General features: G+C 37.3%; 1 protein-coding gene across 35 annotated transcripts in view, besides 1 other annotated feature; it reads right to left on the bottom strand.

The window, feature by feature from the left end:
- Nucleotides 1-20,231, bottom strand: part of PAK3 (p21 (RAC1) activated kinase 3) — a 282,965-nt gene that overhangs the window by 19,906 nt on the left and 242,828 nt on the right. For all 35 annotated transcript variants that reach the window (NR_136747.2, NR_136748.1, XM_047442148.1 and 32 more), the window contains 5 exons: nucleotides 15,281-15,329; nucleotides 14,838-14,950; nucleotides 13,038-13,155; nucleotides 11,515-11,614; nucleotides 10,816-11,012 (listed from right to left, as the gene is read on the bottom strand). Coding sequence is in view for 33 of the 35 variants with exons in the window: in XM_047442148.1 (XP_047298104.1) it covers nucleotides 10,816-11,012; nucleotides 11,515-11,614; nucleotides 13,038-13,155; nucleotides 14,838-14,950; nucleotides 15,281-15,329 (577 nt within the window). In the remaining 2 variants the exon portion in view is untranslated. The remainder of the gene's footprint in view (nucleotides 1-10,815; nucleotides 11,013-11,514; nucleotides 11,615-13,037; nucleotides 13,156-14,837; nucleotides 14,951-15,280; nucleotides 15,330-20,231) is intronic.
- Nucleotides 11,525-12,026: an enhancer, noted in NCBI's record as "NANOG hESC enhancer chrX:110438658-110439159 (GRCh37/hg19 assembly coordinates)". NCBI's record gives its function as "activates a minimal SCP1, AML or CMV promoter by ChIP-STARR-seq in naive H9 embryonic stem cells {active_cell/tissue: H9 hESC(naive)}" and the evidence as "EXISTENCE:reporter gene assay evidence [ECO:0000049][PMID:30033119]".

The raw sequence follows: 20,231 nt of genomic DNA, 5'->3' as shown, positions 1-20,231 counted from the left end.
CAGTCCATCATTAACCAAAACATTGTTATGCAGCACATGACTGTAGTTGTCATACTTTATTGTTTTGGGAATAACTACAAGAAAAAGTCTGTACATGTTTAATACAATGAAACCATCATTTTAAAAAATGCTTTTGATTTGTGGTTGGTTGAATCCATGGATTTCACACCCGTGGATCAGAGGCTCAACTGTGTGTGTGTGTATATATATGTATGTGTGTGTATGTGTATATGTATATGTATATGTGTATATATATACACACATATACGTATATATATACACACATATATATGTAAATATGTATATGTATATATACACACATACATATATGTATATGTATATATGTATATATATATACACACACACACACACACACACACACGTATATATCTATCTACATTGAAGGTTTATATGCAGCTGGTTGTTGCCTGCAACTGACTCCTAATCTGATTCTTTTGTTGTTTTAGAATCTCCAACTAACTTTGAGTGTTTTATGAGAGATATTTGCCAACAAGTGACTTAACACCTTATGACTTAGTTTACTCGTGACCTGGGATTTCACAGTTTAAAAGCCAGAGTATATTGCTGCCTCTGATGTGTTTATGGATATCATGAAAGTGTCTGCCATGTCTTTTTTAGAAGAGAGTAATGAGGGCCAAATATACAAAAAGAAATAATCACATTATAATGAACGCTGTATTCCATACTTGGGCTTACTCAACCCAAAACTTCAGTGTGATAGCTGAATGAGCAATGTGGTCTAATTTAGCTTCCTACCTGTCTTACATAGAAGTTCTCACTGGTCACTAAATTATGAGGGACAATTGTTATTGTTTTGTTGTTTAATCCTTAAAAGGCTATTTAAAATGAACCTATTATAGATCTATCCCCTTATAGGTTGATAGTAAAAGGTAATTAGGTAGGGCTGACTCACTGGCTGTTAGCCTAGCTTAAATGTGCTCCTTTCAAGCACAAAGGACTGACCAATGCCATAAAATAAATTACAGATAACTCCAACAATATGTGTGCTCATTCTCAGAACTAATAATGCTTGCTAAGAATTGCAGAGGGGGCTGCTTGTGCTTATGAAGCAACCCTGGGCACTCAAAGCAGTACCCAAGGTTTGGAACTATAGGGCATTTGGAAGTAGGGATGTGGGTAGGTACAGAGCTAGGAAAGGAAGGAAAGCAAAATGGTGCAAAAGGTAGAGGCAAGAAGCTGTGAGAAGCAGAGGAAGCAAAACAAAACTTTAGGGCAAAAACAGGGGCCAAAAGACAATGGGAGGAGAATATCGCTGGTGGAATGAGGACAAAGAGAAATGAAGATAGATAAGGGCTAGACAATCTGGGAGACCAAGGGGACCTGGATCCTAGGTCCCATTCTGTGACTGCTCCATTGCTCCTGGTCCTTTTCCCACAAAACTTCTCAAAATACTGTGTATACTTGGTTTATCAACTTCCTCACCTCCCATTTTCTCTTTAACACACAACAAATTTCTAGTCCTAAGGTAATATTTAATATTATACATTTGTTCATGTTTCATTTCAGAATATTAGTGCAAGAAGGGACTAGCACTCTTATTCTTTTGGGCTTTTCCAAATTACCATATTAGGATTAAAACAGGCTGACTGTGATATGATCTGTGAAACATGCATTACTAGTCACATAAACTGATTTCAACTTCTATTTTTATATGCAGTTAATCAGCTGAACAGGCCCGTACATAATAATATACAATTCTTTTAATACTACTACAGAGTGAGGAACCTTGTGTCCCTGCAATAGCTTTATTACTGCAGTGTTCTTCACTGGCTTCTTCCCAAGATTATTATCAGAATGAAGTTACCAAGTCTCATATACAGTATATTTCACATCATGATCAAGTGTCTTTGCTTGGTGGGAAAAGGAGGATTTTTCCATTCTGTGGGATACAGATTTACTCCAGAGATGATGAGATAAATGTCTCCAAGCTGCTTTCTGAATACCACTCCTCTGAAAGTACTCATAGAGACTCATAGAGACAACACACAAAACATGGCCCTTTTGGCAGAGTTGGGGAAGGCTGTAGGCTGTGTACAGCTAAAGGACACAGAATCAGAGTAAGGGACTCACGAGTTTTTAGCCTTATTTAAGAAAATCTCATGTGATGGCGCAAGACAGAAAAGGAATTAAAAAGGAACTATTCTGGTGGAACCAAGAGCCCTATCCTGGTTACCTCCCTCTTGGCTCCTTCAATACCCTCAAGGAACTCTATGGTATTCTAGGGCATTGTGGAGCCTACTGGTAAACAAAAATCTAGTGAAATTCCACTCTTTTGAAGCAATAAGGAAATGTAGGCTCAGCAAGAAGAAACCTGCACAAGGTTATGGATTTCTTGACTGACAGACATCGGAATACAATTCACTCTTTAACCCGCATAATGCGAACAGTTGGTAGAGACACTAGAAAGTTCCTTGTCTAGATCTCTCACAGTCATTGGCCCCTCCTAGATTAAAAAAAAAAAAAAAAAAAAAATGTGCTGATGAACTTTGCCATCTGAGCGTGAGGGTAATTCTTTACAAAAAAAAAAAAAAAAAACAAAGCAAAGGAAAGAAGAAAAGAAAAATAAAGCAAAAGAAAAGAAAGAAAAAAGCTACAACAGAAAGGTCAGTTTGATTATTGGGATAATGTTAGAACTCTGACTCTCCCAGCTACAATTCTTACACTGCCTTAATTGATTTAACTTTCTCTGCAGAGCGTCTTATCTAAGACACTTCAGAGTACTGTTTTATTAGAATGCAAAGGGTTTTCTACAATGATGTTGCAACCCGGTTGGAAAAGGTATCAATCAAAATGACAATAAAGGTCAGAAATTATCTTAATTATTAAGAAAACTCCAACTTTCTTGGTAAAATAATTCTTCATTGGCAAAAACACAGATTTCAAAAGCCATAGGATAAAACACGTGCATGGGCATTTCAGTGCGCAAATGCCGATCATCACACTCCATGATTTGTCTCTTTAGAATTAACTTTGATCTGGAGGGACTTAACTACTTAGTTATAGGTATGGTACCTATTAGGGCAATCAGCATATGCATCCTTGTTTTACTCCCAAGCCATGCTATAAGGATTCTGAGAAATTATAACATAATAGTAGCATAAACTTTCTTTCTCTCATTTTCTCTTGGTGGATTTTAGTTTGCTATGGAATCAATTTCTCCTTTGGCTGTTTTCTGGGTCATAATTCACCAGTTTGAGCTGTCTGCTTCTGAATTACATTCTAAATGAGACTTGCAGCTTTCCTATGGCTAAGTCCCATTTTCCTATGCTGAATTCCTAACAACCAATGATTCTTAAGAGCTGTCTATCTTTTGACAGGCAATATTTTTTTCTGATTAAAAAGGAACCCTGTTATTCTTCTGTAATTATTTTAGTTGTAGTGATCCCAACTTCCCCCTCCTTTTAGGCATAGGTTTGCCCTCAAAATAGGAGGAGTGTCAACAAACCATCAATAAACCTTGCTGTTCCATCATGGCTTATGGAAAATGAAGGGAATGCTCCCAGCTCTTCCTGAAATACATTCAAAACAATATTGACTGAGTGCTAGCAAAGTATGCTTGCTTCTCTGGCACTCAGGAAGTTTATGTCTGACTTTAATTCCAAATGAGCACACGCCATCAAACCCAGACATTCCAATCCACAGCAAAGTCCCAGTGCTTGGAGGGATTTAGAAACAGTTTAGCCTTTAGTTGCTTTTCAGTTACTAGAGATTCTCTTATTCTGCTTAACTCTCTTCTCTAGCCATATAAGCCAATTATAATTTCCCTGTTCCCACAAGAAGAAATAAGAACAACTAACATTTCTGTAGTGCTTTAAGTGCAGGAAAAGGGAAGTGGGAAGCCTACTAGTGTAGATAAGAGGTCTGATTTTAGATTTCTGTCCTCCTTTCCCCCTTGCCATATAGGTAATGCACTCCTAATCATGAGTAGTCAGACTGATGGGTTTATTATGCACCAATATATGCTAGCTACTCGGTCAGCAGCTAGCCCATTTTAATGATGAACTCCATTTTCAGAAGAAGCAAAATTGCAAAAGAAAATAGCATATCATGGAGGCATATGCTGAACTAATGTCATTTCTTTTTGGATAGTGCTACTCAACTGGTAAATCAGAGAATGACATAAAGCACATCAGGACTTCAATTAGGCTTTTATAGTATTACTCATAAGTTTTTAGACAAAATGGATAAATGTGAGTAGAATGATAGTGTTATTTTTTGGTTGGACGACCATGTTCAAAGAGGGGTGATGACGAATTGTTGTCCAGGCTGGACAGTGTTCTATAAAGGGCTTGCCACATTGATATTTGACATTTCCTGATTGCCATTTTTCCCTGAGGATGGGGGCCTAGAATCGCTGGTTCTTAAAGCTCCACAGATGACTCCAATGTGCAACCAAGGAGATCCACTGATACAGGATCTGTGGTTCACATACTATACTACATATTGTTTTTAGCAGTGATACCAATAACTGTCTTCCAGCGATCCAATCTTCGATACAGCTTCACAGATGTTTCAAGTAAGGGGTAGAAAGAGAACACTTAAAATCTATTTTAACTTGGATAAAGATTTGGAACATTACCATAAAAGGTGTTTCAAAGAGTCTAGTAGGGACTTCAAGTGGATGTCATTTTTTTACATTTCACAAATAACAAATTCCATCAAAACCTGTTGATAAGAATAGCCCCATTACGTGTAAAAGCAAAGTTAATAAAGGGGCACTCTCTGGGTGCTGAGAAAATAGACCAAAGTTTTGTTTGACAAAAATGATTGTGTCTCCTTACTTAGCATCAAGTTATTATAATAACAGTTGTTTAAAGTCTTCAATTAACAAAAAAGTTGATGATATCAGCAACAGTAACATTTGATTTGTATATCCACAGGGAAAGTTAGATTTTTAACCCCAGTCACTTTGGCAAAGAGAAGGAACAAGGTACTTAATTATTGGAGGCTGCACTAAAACTGTCTATAGGTCACAGAACAACATGTCCAAGGCCAATTATGTTGAGTACAAAGACTTCAGGCAGTGGGGGACAGTAAGAAGCTTGTGTCCTCTCTCTCTGGAAGGGTACAAGCCTCATAACATCAGTACAATTAATAACTCTCTGACCTTTAAAAGGCATTTTATGAACAAATTAGGTCAATTAGTATAGCAACATTTACATTAAAAAATCTCAGCCACTTTCTAACTAAGGGGAAAAGTAGTTAATTCATTGCATTAACAATATGTTAATAGGCAATATTCATAAAGGGTCTGCTCAGCTGGAACTGATACAACAGAGACACAGAAAAACTCACAGTGAAACATAAATGACCTTGAAATGTATAGCCCCAGACTTCACCTTGAACTTCTTCTGTTCAGTGTTACCTGTTCATGGTAATTGTACTGAACTGTGCAAAACCCTCCATTCCTTGAGTAGATGGGTGTGCCACTCTCATGAAGGATATGTTCTTAGGAGAGTGCTGAATCCAACCTCCCTTCATGAGTGGGTAAAAAAAACCCTCTAAACATCCTTTCTCTGTTTTTCCTATCTTACTACTTTACTATCCATATATACATTTCATATATATAAATATATACATATATATTTTTTTCCTACAGTGAACTGGACACTGTGCTAGGTGATTTACATATATTATTCATTTAGTTTTCATGCTAACTCTGTAAGATAGACATAGTTCTCATTTTACAGATAGGAAGCAGGCTTAGAAAGGTTTTAAGTAACTTGCAGAAGGTCACAGAGCTTGCAGGTTGTAGAGCCAGGACACACCCAGATCTGCCTGACTACAGGACCAAAATTTTTCACATCAACATGCTACCCTGTACTCTACTACTCTGTCTTTCTTACACTTATTTCACTTCCTTCCTTCTACCTCTTTCCACCTCAAAGCACACAATAGTGGATGTGTTGTAGTGTTGGAAGGATATTAAAGAAGACTAATCTGGCACTCTTTTATACTCCTCTTAAAGCTCTGGATTATTTTCTATTTCCCCACATATGGCCTGGGCACCAGGATCCAAGAAATCGCTGCTCCCTATAGGCTCATGTTAGATCCTTTTTCTCTCCAATCTCCCCATGGTTTCAGCGACTACATTTTAAAGATTCCAAATAAGGGCATATAGCCTGAGACATTGTGTTTCCTTCAAGAGAACATTAGGAAAACATATTTGAAATCGAAACCAAAAAAGTACTCCTGATGCCTAGAAGAGACAAAATTAGAATAAAGCTAGCTCTGTATGGGCTTGTTGATTGATTAATTGAAGGTTGATCACACATACAGAGAGTAATGAGCAAAGTTAGAGTAAATCCTTATCAGTGGAATTCAACAGGGTGGTCTTTCTCACAGGTCTTTTTGTTGCAGACTTAATGTAGGCTTCCTGAACCTTGTGGTTTGTTAATCTGCAAGTACTTGTTTAGATATCAGGCGGTGGCATCTAAGATACAAGCTGTTAATTGTGAGTTCTAATCCTAGGCTAGAAGATGCCTATAAAGATTAAAACTTGTTTCCTTTTTCTAATAATTAGCAGCCTAGCTAAAGAGAGATCAATTGTAATTGGGGAATTGAAGAAGGTAATAAATCCATTACTGAGACTAGTTGTTTTACAGAGCCATTTGTTTAATCCTTAAAATTTGCAGGCTGTAAATTACTCATTAGAAGGCAGAAAGCAAAATAGCCATAATCCATTTAGTGCCTCCAAACTCCAAAGACTTAGGGGAGGAAATCCATAGAAACAAGAGGTCCGATGTGTTCTTTCACTGCTATTTCTTAATGGGTGAAGGTGGTTAAACAATAAGGAAAAGCCCATGTAATTATCCTGATGCGCTGGACCATAGGCCAGGTGTGGACTTGATTAAATCCATGGAGGGCTAACCCACAAACGGTGGGAAAATGCCCCTTCTTTTCCACTCAGCCCTGAAGGCAGCTAATCAATGTGCACATCTCATTTCCAGATTGTTGCATGAGATCAGAGAAATAGCCTATAGCATTCATTAGGGCATTCCCTCATATCTGTTGTTTTCTAATCAGCACAGGGAATAAAACAAGAGGCCAAGTACCAGAGAGGAGTTAGGAGAGAGCCAGGAGGAAGCTGTCCTCCTCTCCATATACAGGGAATGCAGTTCCCAAATACAAAATGTTTAACTGCAAAACAACTAGACAGTTAGTTTATAGGTCTCTTTACATGCATAGAAAGCCACATATATTTGGTTTGAACATGGATTTTGCAAGCTTTATATGAAAACACTTAACCATTTACTAAGAACAATGGTTTTTTTTTTTGGCATACCAAGGGTACAATTCAATTTTAGACTCCTAGTGGTAATGATGCAGGCAGTATACAAGATGCCTATGATACTAGCACTGTGCTTGAACTTTGAGAGTAGAATTTGAATCTGTGCATATTTTCTTTTTTAAACAATGTGATGCCTGTTATAGACACAAAACACAGCTTCTATTAATAGCTCACTGTTGGGCTATACACAACAAAATACCTATGGCTCACTTCTGCACTGAGTAAGCATTTCTTTCATACCTCTTTCCTTTCCTCCTCATGATCAACAGCACATCTCCGAAATAAGATGATAGGATTAGGTTGTGAAATGAAGTTTTTCTCTTTGCAGGGATAACAAGATCACATGAAGATCAAATCTCTGATTTTGTGGTAGCAAAGTGAGTTACCAAACGGAAACTGTTTCCAATCATTTTCTACTTGACAATCTAATTAAGTTTCTGATTTCACCAGGTTGGCACTATGTCTATCTCTGTGTTCCACTCAATACCCACCAAGCTGTTGTTAATCAATAAATCATTACTGATAATGAAGGAAAATCCAATTTAAAAATTACAGCTGTTCTGGAAATGCATTTATTTACTTTGTTAAAGTAATTATAAAGCAAGTGTTTTTTAGATTGATCATTTAACCATGTCATGTAATAAAAGTACTTTCTCCCCACATCTCACTTAAAAAAAAAGCTACATGTATTTTACATTAGAAAGCTATACTAAGGAATCTTAAAGACCCTTGTCATTAAAAATACAATCAAAGCATGTTAGAAAAATGTTAGAAGTTCTAGCCAGAGTAATCAGGCAAGAGAAAGAAATAAAAGGCATCCAAATAGGAAGAGAAGAAATCAAACTATCTCTCTTCCCAGATGATATGATTCTATACCTAGAAAACCCATAGTCTCTGCCCAAAGCCTTCTAAATCTAACAAACAACTTCAGCAAAGTTTCAGGATACAAAATCAATGCTAAAAAACTTAGTAGCATTTCTATACACCAACGATGTCCAGTTAAGAGCCAAATCAATAGCACAATCCCATTCACAACAGCCCTAAAAAATAAAATACCTAGGAATACAGCTAACCAGGAAGGTGAAAGATCTCTACAACAAGAATTACAAAACACTGATGAAAGAAACTGGAGATGACAAAAACAAATGGAAAAACTTTCCATGCTCTTGGATAGGAAGAATCAATATTTTTAACATGGCCATACTGCCCAAAGTAATGTACAGATTCAATACTGTTCATATCAAAATACCAATGACACTTTTCACAGAATTAGAATAAACTATTCTAAAATTCACTGGGAACCAAAAAAGCCCCAATAGACAAAGCAATACCAAGCAAAAACAACAAAGATGGAGGCATCATATTACCTGGCTTTAAACTGTACTACAAGCCTACAGTAACCAAAACAGCATGGTACTGGTAAAAAAAAAATAGACACATAGATGAATAGGACAGGTGAGAGAACCCGGAAATAAAGTCACACACCCACAACCACCTGATTTTTGACAAAGTCAACAATAATAAACAGTGGGGAAAGGACTACCTATTCAATAAATGGTGCTGGGATAACTGGCTAGCCATATGCAGAAGATTGAAATTGGATCCTTTCCCTTCATCATATGCAAAAATCAACTCAAGATGGATTACATACTTAAATGTAAAACCTAAAGCTATAAAAACCCTAGAAGAAAACCTAGGAAATACCATTCTGGGCATGGGCCCTGGCAAAGATTTCATGATGAAGACTCCAAAAGCAATTTCAACAAAAACAAAAATTGACACATGGAACTTCATTTAACTGAAGAGCTTCTGCACAGCAAAAGAAACTATCAATAGTGTAAGCAGACAACCTACAGAAAGGGAGAAAATATTTGCAAACTATGCATCTGACGAAGATCTAATATCCAGCCTCTATAAGGAACTCAATTAATAAGCAAAAATCAAACAACCCCATTAAAAAATGGACAAAAGACGTGAACAGACACTTCTGAAAAGAAGACATACATGTGCCCAAGAAGCATATGAAAAAATGCTCCACATCATTAATCATTAGAGTAATGCAAATCAAAACCACAATGAATACCATCTTACACCAGTCAGAATGGTTATTATTAAAAAGTCAAAAAGGGGCTAGGTTTGGTGGCTCATGCCTGTAATCCAAGCACTTTGGGAGGCCAAGGCAAGTCAATCACTTGAGGCCAGGAGTTTGAGGCCAGCCTGGCCAACATGGTGAAGCCCTTCTTTACCAAAAATATAAAAAATTAACCAGGCATGGTGGTGCATGCCTGTAATCCCATCTACTTGGGAGGCTGAGGCACTAATCACTTGAACCTAGTGGGCAGAGGTTGCAGTGAGCCAAGATCATGATCACTCCATTGCACTCCAGCCTGGGCAACAGAGCAAGACTCTGTCTCAAAAAAAAAAAGTCAAAAAATAACAGATGCTGGCGAGGTTCAGGAGAAAAGGGAATGCTTATAGACTGCTGGAGGGAATGTAAATTAGTTCAGCCACTGTAAAAAGCAGTTTGGAGATTTCTCAAAGAACTTAGAGTTATCATTCAATTCAGCAATCCCATTACTGAGTATATACCCAAAGGAATATAAATCATTTAACTCAGCAATCCCATTACTGGGTATATACCCAAAGGAATATAAATCATTCAACTCAGCAATACCATTACTGGATATATAATCAAAGGAATATAAATTGTCCTTCAATAAAGACATACACACGTGTATGTTCATCACAGCACTATTCACAGTAGCAAAGACATGGAGTTAATTTAGATGTCCATCAACAGTGGATTGGATAACAAAAATGTGGAACATATACACCATAGAATATTATGTAGACATAAAAAAGAATGAAATCATGTCCTTTACAGCAACATGGATGCAGCTGGAGGCCATTATTCTAAGCAAATTAATGTAGAAACAGAAAACCAAATGTTGCATGTTCACTCGTAAGTGGGAGCTAAACATTGAGTACACACAGACACAAAGAAGGGGACAATTGACACTGGGGCCTACTTGAGAGTGGAGGGTGGGAGGAGTCTGAGGACCTAAAAACTACCTGTTGGGTACTACATTCATTACCTGGGAGATGAAATAATCTGTACACCAACCCCAACAGCATGGAATTTACCTATATAATAAACCTGCGTATGTACCCCCTGCACCTAAAATGAAAGTTGGAAGGAAAAAAGAATTAAATGAGAAAAAGAGAAAAAAAGGGTAGTTATTCTTTCTCCAAAAAAAAAAAAAAAAAAGAAAGAAAGAAAGAAAAAGACAAGGAAAACTGTTGAGACATTGTAAGATAAACTTTAAAAAGCTTACAGTAAATTTGAAAATTATAACTTGGTGCTTCTATGTTACTGGTCTCAGAAAAGAGCCCATTCTGGTCACTTTTGGTGGAAGCCAGAAATGATATTTGGCCTTTCCTCTTTCCTGGGAATAAAGTACCTGACTTCTCTTCTGACTTACCCTGAGTGGATTTTCATTAAGGTAAGGGGGTTCACCTTCCACCATTTCAATTGCCATAATTCCAAGAGACCAGATATCAACTTTCGGACCATAAGCTTTTCGAGTCACCACCTCAGGTGCCATCCAATATGGGGTTCCCACCATAGTGCTTCGTTTACTTTGCTCAGGAGTGATCTGGGCACAGAACCCAAAGTCAGCTGCAGAGAAGAAAAGCCAGTTAAAATAAGCCCAAATTATTTTCCTTTTACAATATATCACTTTCAGATATGGCTGTACCTTCCTTTGCTACACACTGAGTTTCCACAACTGCCTAGCTCATACCTTTTTGTTAACTGATGTCTCAGCTGGTCCTGATTTTAAGAAGGTCTGAAATAATTGACTAACGTGATGTCATTTTTACTAGACTTCAATCTAATTCCCTCTCATCACTGTTTTCTCAAACTTACAGAATTTTTCAGTTTCCTAATTAGGTATTTGTCATTTATTCATTCCACAAGTCACTAGAAATTCTGAAATATTAAATCCAAAAAATGTGGTCACAATATTCAGGAACACAGTGTTAGAAAAATTCTTTACTTCAAACTGGGCTGTAACTTCTTTCAAATAAATCACTTTCAGTAACCATTATCTTCTTAAGATATACAATGAAAGAACAGAAATTCCCTGATACTCTAATACCACCTGAACCAAAATACCTACTCAATTTAACAGAGCCATCCATCCCGAGAAGAATATTGTCACTCTTTATATCTCTATGGATCACCTGGTTTGAGTGCAGGAAATCCAAAGCTTGCAGGCACTATTAAATCAGAAAAAAAAGTTCTAATTATATCACAAATAATTTTTAATACTAAGTTTTATTTCTAGATAAATTTTGGGCAGGGATATAACTTTATATTGTCAAGTGAAATCGATTACTGAATGCTTTAACAACACCACTTTAAAGTCACATTACCATTTACATCAATGATGCCACTTAGCATTATCATGCTAAGTATGATGGCTGACACATCAGACTAGGACATTAAGAATGATAATGTGATAAATAGCACCAATCAATAATACAGTCAAATTAACCAATTAATATACTTTGGCCCAGTTATTTGGAGGATTCAGCTTGGTCTTCTATAGCTGTGGTAAGCTTCATTGTAGATGGCATGATTTGATTCAGAAGTTCTGGCATGAAACCCAGGAATCTGCATTTAAAACAAGTGCCCCAAACTATTTCTAATGGGTAGCCAGGTTTGGGAACCACTCCTAGGCTATGAAGTAACTATAGGCACTTGTTTGGAAATGCCTTTGCAGTGTAATGCTGGAAGAAGGAAACCACAGGCTCAGGGTAGTAAGTTTAATGTATTGAATGAATAGAAAACATATATGTTTGGTGGATATGTGGGGTGGGGAAAATGATAATGAGAGGAGAGCAAGGAAGGAGGAAATTTAAGTGAACAACTTATAAAAAAAAAGCAGAGATTAGCTGATATCACTTAGTTTTGTTTTTCTATCATTGGTTTTCAAGTTTCAGTGAGTCAGAGTTCCTACTTTTGTTGATAGAAAACCTCACCACAATAAATGGGATAGATTATAATGCCTAAGATGAGACTCCAGTAAAAAAGTGTGTGTGTTTTTTAATATTCAACAAAATAAATATAATAACATCTCTTTAATTTAGTTTGAAACCCCTTAGGGGTATGACACTTACTGGAAAAGAGACAGACCGTCAGGCCCACTTGGGGGCTGTAAGGGAAGTTCAGATTGTACTGTGAAAGCAACTGCTTTCTGGCCTGAGGGAGGACCTTGTTTAAATTGCCTTCTAAAAATGATGAAAATATAATTTATTTTACATGGCTCATATTACACATGCAGGATAAAATAAGTATCATGTAAAAACTTCCCCAAATTAGAAAGAAGTGCTATGCCAATATCACTGTTTCCCATGTTCACGGAAACTACAGCATGTGGGTTTAGATACGGCACCTCACAAATGGCATAATGGAACTAAAAGATTCACAAAAGGCAGCTAAAATAAACAAGAGGCTCAGGAGGGTGATGCTGGGGAGTGCTATTAGGACAGAATTTAAATTGAAGTTGGCCTCTCCAATTGTTTTCAGTGGAAAAGTTCTACTATTGTTACTTTGATGATACAAACATTCTGAATAATCAGAAATGAAGAACTGCCAATTTCGGTGGTCTTCTCAGCTAGAAATGCTCTATTTGCTTACCTCTCTGCAGACAGCTGCTATCTGTCCTTCATCCATACAGGTCTCTGTGACCACATCAGTCAGAGAGCCACCAGCCAAGTATTCCATGACTACCCATAGTTCATCACCCACCAAGTAGCTATAACAAGAAAAGAAAAGACTTTGCCTTATGACGCTAAAAAACCTGGGGACTCTGATATTCCCAGGCCTCAGTTCTGATAGAAGTCAACTCTGAGTTGTGCTATGCCCATTACCTTTGAGAAGGTATTGAGGGACATACTCCAAGTGATCATAATATGGAGCCAAGGGTCACCAGAGCCCTATAATTCAGGCAAAGAGAGCATGAGGTTATTCAAATCACCTGACACCATCTGACGGCACTTTAGCAGTACAATCAGGTCTCTCTGAAACCTTGCTTATCAAGAAAGATGAATTATAGGAAATGGAATGAACCCAATGTTCCCACCCTGCCCTAAGACCCATATCAATGTGAAGCAAGATTTTCTATCCAGTGGTGCTCAAACTGTGGTGTCCATAAAATTCATCTGGAAAGCTTGTTAAAAACAAAAATTCACAGTCCTCATCTTATTATTTATGGAAAGCAGCCTAGAATTCTGAATTTTTTATAAGTGCAAATGCATTGTTTTTTTTGTTTTTTTTTGTTTTTGTTTTTTGTTTTTTGTTTTTTGTTTTTGCAAAATTACAAACACAGAATGACTTTAGGTTACTCTGTTGCAGGTGGTTCCTAAGTTACACTTTAGGAGACACTGATCAAGACTGTAAAATTTGCGGCCGGGTGGAGTGGCTCACGCCTGTAATCCCAGCACTTTGGGAGGCCAAGGTGGGTGAATCACCTGAGGCCAGGAGTTTGAGACCAGCCTGGCCAACATGGCGAAACCCCGTCTCTACTAAAATACGAAAAATTAGCTGGGCATGGTGACACACGCCTGTAATCCCAGCTCCTTGGGAGGCTGAGGCAGGAGAATTGCTTGAACGTAGGAGGCAGAGGTTGCAGTGAGCTGAGATCACGCCACTGCACTCTAGCCTGGGCGACAGAGCAAGACTCTGTAAAAAAAAAAAAAAAAAAAAAAGGACTGTAAAATTTAACCCTCTTTTTTCCTCCCAGTTTTTCCTTCTTCTGTAACATTGGTCTACCTGGCCCAAAAAGCAGAAAACAGTATCTTAAGCTTATTGAGTTTGAAGACCTAGATTTAGTTTCTTTGTATCCCCTCCAGAGAACACCGCACAGTGGTACTAAACAAACTCTTTTTGAAATTGAATGAGACAGATGTTAACCACAAGTGAAGAGTTAGTGCTGCCTTTAAATACCTATTTATAACACACTGTTAATACCACTGATAAAGAGACATTAATTACCAGGTTTAGGAAAAAGGTTTGAGATTAAAGTCTGAATTCCCTAGACCTCACTGTTAGTTAATCACAAAGCACCCATTAAAGCCATTGTAGTCAGCCTTCTTCACTTAGACTCCCAGAAATTGTACTGGCTCCAGACAAACACTTGATGTAATGTTTAAACCACTACTCCCTCCTATATGCAATGGTCTATTTTCTGCCAAAATGGAGCTATGATTCTCAAAATGAAATTTACAACCAAGACCATAAAATGTTTCTTCAAGTGTCTGATATGTGGACAAAGCTAAGTGAGTGCAAGTTTAGCAATAGATCTAATACTCTACTACACTGTAGCATTTGAGAAATATTTGCAGAATGTTAAATGAACGAATCCCAAATAAAGTAATTTGCCAAGAAAAAATGACATCCCACAAAGAATATAAGTACATAATAAGACAAAACACTTACCTATCTAAATAATTAACAATATTAGGGTTCTTATTTTCCCTCATGACCAGAATTTCATTAATAATTAATTCCTTCTTGGGTTGCTGTTGAAGGTTCATCTGCTTTATGGCCACCTGAATGGCAATTAAAATACAAGAATGAATTACAATCATTATAATAAACATGAATATTCATATTTTGGGGGACATAGAGTGAAACATACACATTCTTTATTTACTAAGCTCTTTCCCTGTGCCACAAACACATGCCCCCCACTTTTTTTTTTATTTTTTGGTTATCATGGGTAAACTACTCACTTCAGAGGCTTTGGGCACCAAGGAAGTAAACACCTATGTCAACCCAGTGCTACCCATTTTTTTTTTAGGCGAAGTTGCCATCGAAGAAGATAACTGTTAAATATGAATAAAAGAAAATAAAAATCAGGATTGAACGTTAGCACTTACCTCTTGTCCTGTTGCAATGTCTAGTGCTGTATAAACAGTACCTGATGCCCTGTGAAGGTGAAAATTATCAAAAGAATAAGCAATCAAGCTGTTACCAATATATTTTACTTGAAATAAAATGTAATTATTTTGAGGGGAGGAAAATTAGCAAACTCAAAATTATGAGGTAAGAAAAGGAACAACCTTTTAAAAAAATTATTATTGTGATTAAAAAAAAACACAGGCGATCTACCCTCTTAACAAATTTTTAAGTGTACAGTATTGGAACAATCTTTTTATACAGCATATGCACCTGAAACAATCACAATGTATCCCTTGTGGTGGACTAGGAACTCCAGTCAGATTTTCTGGCACTAGTCTGAGTGTCATGCACTATGCAGTAATAAATTGAGCAAAATGGCCTTGCTTCTTTTAGGAAACTCCTGGAATCCCCTAAATATTTCTTGAATTTTGTAATAACCAACATTGCAGGCCTTTCATTAAACTGAAGAATAGTTTAGGAAAGAATATATCATCTTTTGCTTAGGCAAGTATAAATTAACCTTCCCTTTTAGTATAGAAACCGAGTGGTTCTTTTCATATATTTCCAATTTTTAAGACTATCTTCATCTAAAGACCAATCTCTCTCAGTGCTGTACTGTACTATAGCTACATGAAGCAATAGCAACATGACTTTATTATTGAGCCATTGTTTTCTTATTTTTACTAAATTTCTCAACAACTTCTACTTTGAGGTGTCACTCCAGCCCAATATTCTTTTAAAATCTGTCATTTCTGGGCCTGGTGCAGTGGCTTACACCTGTAACCCCAAAACTTTGGGAGGCTGAGGCGGGAGGATTGCTTGAGCCCAGAAGTTTGAGACCAGCCTGGGCACCACGGTGAGATCCAGTCTCTATGAAAAATTTAAAAATTAGCCAGGTGTGGTGGCACATGCCTGTAGTCCCTGCTTTTCAGGAGGCTGAGATGGGAGGATCACTTGAGCCCAGGAGGTCGAGGTTGCAGTGAGCTGTGATTGTGCCACTGCACTCCAGCCTGGTGTCTCAAAAAAATTAATAATGAGCCAGTCCATGTCTCAAAAAAATTAATAATGTATCATTCTTTATATCTTAGCAGTACTCTTGCTTCCATTCTAACTTCATTTATGGGGTTCCCTTGCTTTGCAAATAGAAATTGTATAGTAAGCTGCATTCACAGTAACCTTCTATGAATCACAAATGCATTCTAAACCACCTCCCACCAACACCTTCAAGAAAAAGAAAAAAAGTCAATTTCGCTTTTAGTGAATAAAGGAGTTAGAATAGAGATCAGTCCTGTGATTGACTACATGTTATAATACTCCAACATTGCTTTGTAAACTTTCTGGTAATTATTTCTCTTGTTCTTTATTTCATCCTTGCTGTTTTGTTTTCTGAGTCCAGGAATTATTTTCTTATGTCAGGCACTTCCTTGTCATTCTTTTCCCTTCTCCTTGTATTAGCCCAAATATTTCTCACAGGTCCAGGAAGTGTATATGACCTGGCTCTCAGGGAGTAAACTCGGTGTGTAGTATAAGGCATATTTGACTATTAGTAGAGATCTGAGTTCTAATATTTGTCCTAACATCATCAAGCTATGTGACTTTGCGCTAGTTACTTCCTTTCACTGAGTTTCAGTCCCCTCACATGGAAAACAGGTATCACAATAACAGTAAACATGTACTGAGTATGTTGTATATGTCAGACACTGCACTAAGAACTTTAGATAATTTATCTTATGTAATCCTTACCATATTTTTATAAGGCAGATGCTATTATTCCCATGTTACATATGATGAACTGAGGTTCAGAGAGGTTACCTGCCCAAGGTTACACAGTTAACAACCCGTGTCTGTCTGACTCTCTTGCTTTTAAAGTACAGGAAATGAGCTACTTTATTTCTAAGGTTCTTTAATTCTATGATTTATAATCTACAACTCTACTACCCTCCTCACTCTGCTTGTGTTTCTAAATATCGATTGGAACTGGGCTGAAAAATCACACTTAATCAATAGGTGCCACCTAAACCGGGATTTGATAATTCTAGAAATTTCTTAGGCTTGAGGCTTATATCAGACAAATCATTTCCTCACTTCTGTAAGTGTGAGATTCTGGGCTCAGAGCTCACAGTTAGTTCCCAATAAATATTTGTTGAATGAACAAATTAATAAAAATCTTTTAAAGCAAACATGCAATGCCAATATGACTTTTCCTTTCTGTGAAGAAAACATTTCTTCTACTTAAATCTAAATAAAGCACTTTGCTCTTGGAATAAGCGAACAAACATTCCTGACTTCAGAGCCCGGTGTGTGATTTGTCCTTCTGAACTTATTTGAGTTCAAAGGAATAGATCACCTCGACTTGGTGTATATTTCAGCCGCAATAAGTCCTGAGAAACTACTTAAATCTAATTGCAAAATATGATTTAAAAATGCCTTTTGACATACAGACAGCTAGCAAACATATGAAAAAAATGCTCCACATCAATAATCATCACAGAAATGCAAATCAAAACCACAAAGAGACACCATCTCTCACCAGTCAGAATGGCAATTATTAAAGAGTCAAAAAACAACAGATGTTGGCAAGGCTGCCAAGAAAAGAGAACACTTATACCCTGCTGGAGGGAATGTAAATTAGGTCTTCCGCTGTGGAAAGCAGTTTGGAGAGTTCTCAAAGAACTTAAAACGGAACTACCATTTGACCCAGCAATCCTATTACTGGGTATGTATCCAAAAGAAAATAAATCACTTTATCAAAAAGACACATGCACTTGTATGTTCATTGCAGCACTATTCATGATAGCAAAGACATGGAAAAAACCTATGGGCCCATGAATGCTGGATTGGATAAAGAAAAATGTGGTACATGTACACCATGGAATATTATGCAACCATAAAAAGAATGAGATCATGTCCTTTGCAGTAACATAGATGGAGCTGGAGGCCATTATTCTAAGGGATCTAATGCAGGAATAGAAAACCAAATACAACATGTTCTCACTTCTAAGCTGGAGCTAAACATTGGGTACGCATGAACATAAAGCTGGCAACAATAGACACTGGGGACTACTAGAGTGAGGAAGGAGGGAGGAGGGTAAGGGTTGAAAAACTAACTGTTGAGTACTATGCTGACTTCTGGGTGATGGGATAATTCGTACCCCAAACCTCAGCATTATGCAATATACCCAGGTAACATACCTGCACATATACTCCCTAAATCTAAAATAAAATTTAAAAATAAATAAATAAAAGTGACTCTGGTTTATTCACATGTATTTAGGCCGCATGCACAATTCCTTTAGATGCAAAAGAGTGAGAGTATCTGCAAAATGAGATAATAGTTCCTATTTCACAGGGCTGTAGAGAATTACATGTAGAGATTGTGCATGGCACAATCTATGTAAGCATTTAGCCCTGTGCCAGATCAGAGTTGATGTCTATATGGTAGCTGCTATTATCATCATTTGTTGTTGCCGCTGTTGTTATTGGTTTCACAGTAGGGGATGACTGGTACACCGAACTATTAGTTGGCCCATCCAAACCTCCCAGCCAAAGCATCCTTGCTAACATCTGCCCCTATTTCCAAAAGGACAGAGGCTGAGGTAAACTATTGGAACACGTTTTAGAGGTTCCACATCCTTTCTCCCCCCCTAGGGAAGTGGTTTTACCCTTTTCTTTGAAAGTTGGAACGCCTTTATCAAATGAAACTGTATGAAGAAACCCTCAATATATTAAACAAATAAATTGGGAGTTGCCCCAGTTAAAGCTAGGGAGGGGGGCCCAAAATACCTGCCCAGGTGCCCTTTCTGTTATTCAACACCTCTGTCTCCCTAACCCCCAAGCCCATTCCCACTGTCCTGAGGGCTAAAATTGTGATTGACTTGGAGTGCAAGTGGGGATTCATGTTTAACATTTTCAGAGCTTTACCTTTCAAATTCGTGGGTTTTGTTTTTTTTTGTCCTCCAGCACCCTCAGCATTTAATTGTATTAAAATTGCTAGAGTTCTAACCCTGGAATCTCAATATCCTGGGATTTATGGCATCCAGTGGTATAAAATTGCGACAAATTACTAATCCACAGAGGTTTAAATATCCTGAAACTCTAGAGCACCAGCTGCTAACTAAAAATGAGCCTTTCTCCTCCCCTCCCCTCCCCGCTTACTCCATATATGCAATTGTGTAATGTGTGTATATATATATATATATATATGCATTTCCCTACCCTGTACCCTGGTTCTCTTGTCATAAAATGGTAATATCCTCTCCTACCACACTTACCAATCCCCTCAAACCAAACATGTTGTTAGGTGGTTGGAACTCCCTGCTCTGACCAATAAGTTATTGGTTTGTGCAACTTCTAGCCTTTGCACAACCTTCAACTCGAATGCACAAATTCAGGTACTAACCTGCAAATTAAAATTTACCACCTTTTCCCCAGCTCTGTCTTAGCACTCCCAACATATTTCTGCACCCCAGTTCTGATGCTTTTACATATTCTAACAATTTAAAATTCAACGGGTATAAATATGAATCTCTCCTTCAAGAGATCTCAACTTCCTTCAAGATTCATCTATTAAAGCTCTCTCATTGCTCACTGCTGGGTTGAGAACAGTAGTCCTCACTCCCATTCATTCAAACCTCCCCTGGTTCAAGTACTACTAGTTCCTAGTTGTCAGACTCTGGGTAAGTAATTTAGTTTCTTTGTGATTTAGGATTAAAGGAGGATTAAATGTATATAGTTCTGGCATACAGTGATTTCCCAATAAATATTAGCAGTAATGATAATTATTATTTGGTTGATTATTTCCTAACATATTCATTACATTCTCAAATTCTAGTGTGTGAATCATAAGGAAGCTCTGTAAGTATCTGGGAGTTTTCAAGATATTTGATGTTTCAAAATTCATAACAAAAAAATTGACAATTACCTGAGAAC

This window comes from Homo sapiens, chromosome X, assembly GCF_000001405.40.
Source record: "Homo sapiens chromosome X, GRCh38.p14 Primary Assembly".
In the NCBI taxonomy this organism is placed as follows: Eukaryota; Metazoa; Chordata; class Mammalia; order Primates; family Hominidae; genus Homo; species Homo sapiens.
The sequence above is the reverse complement of the archived record's forward strand: the minus strand, read 5'-3'. Positions and strand labels throughout refer to the sequence as shown.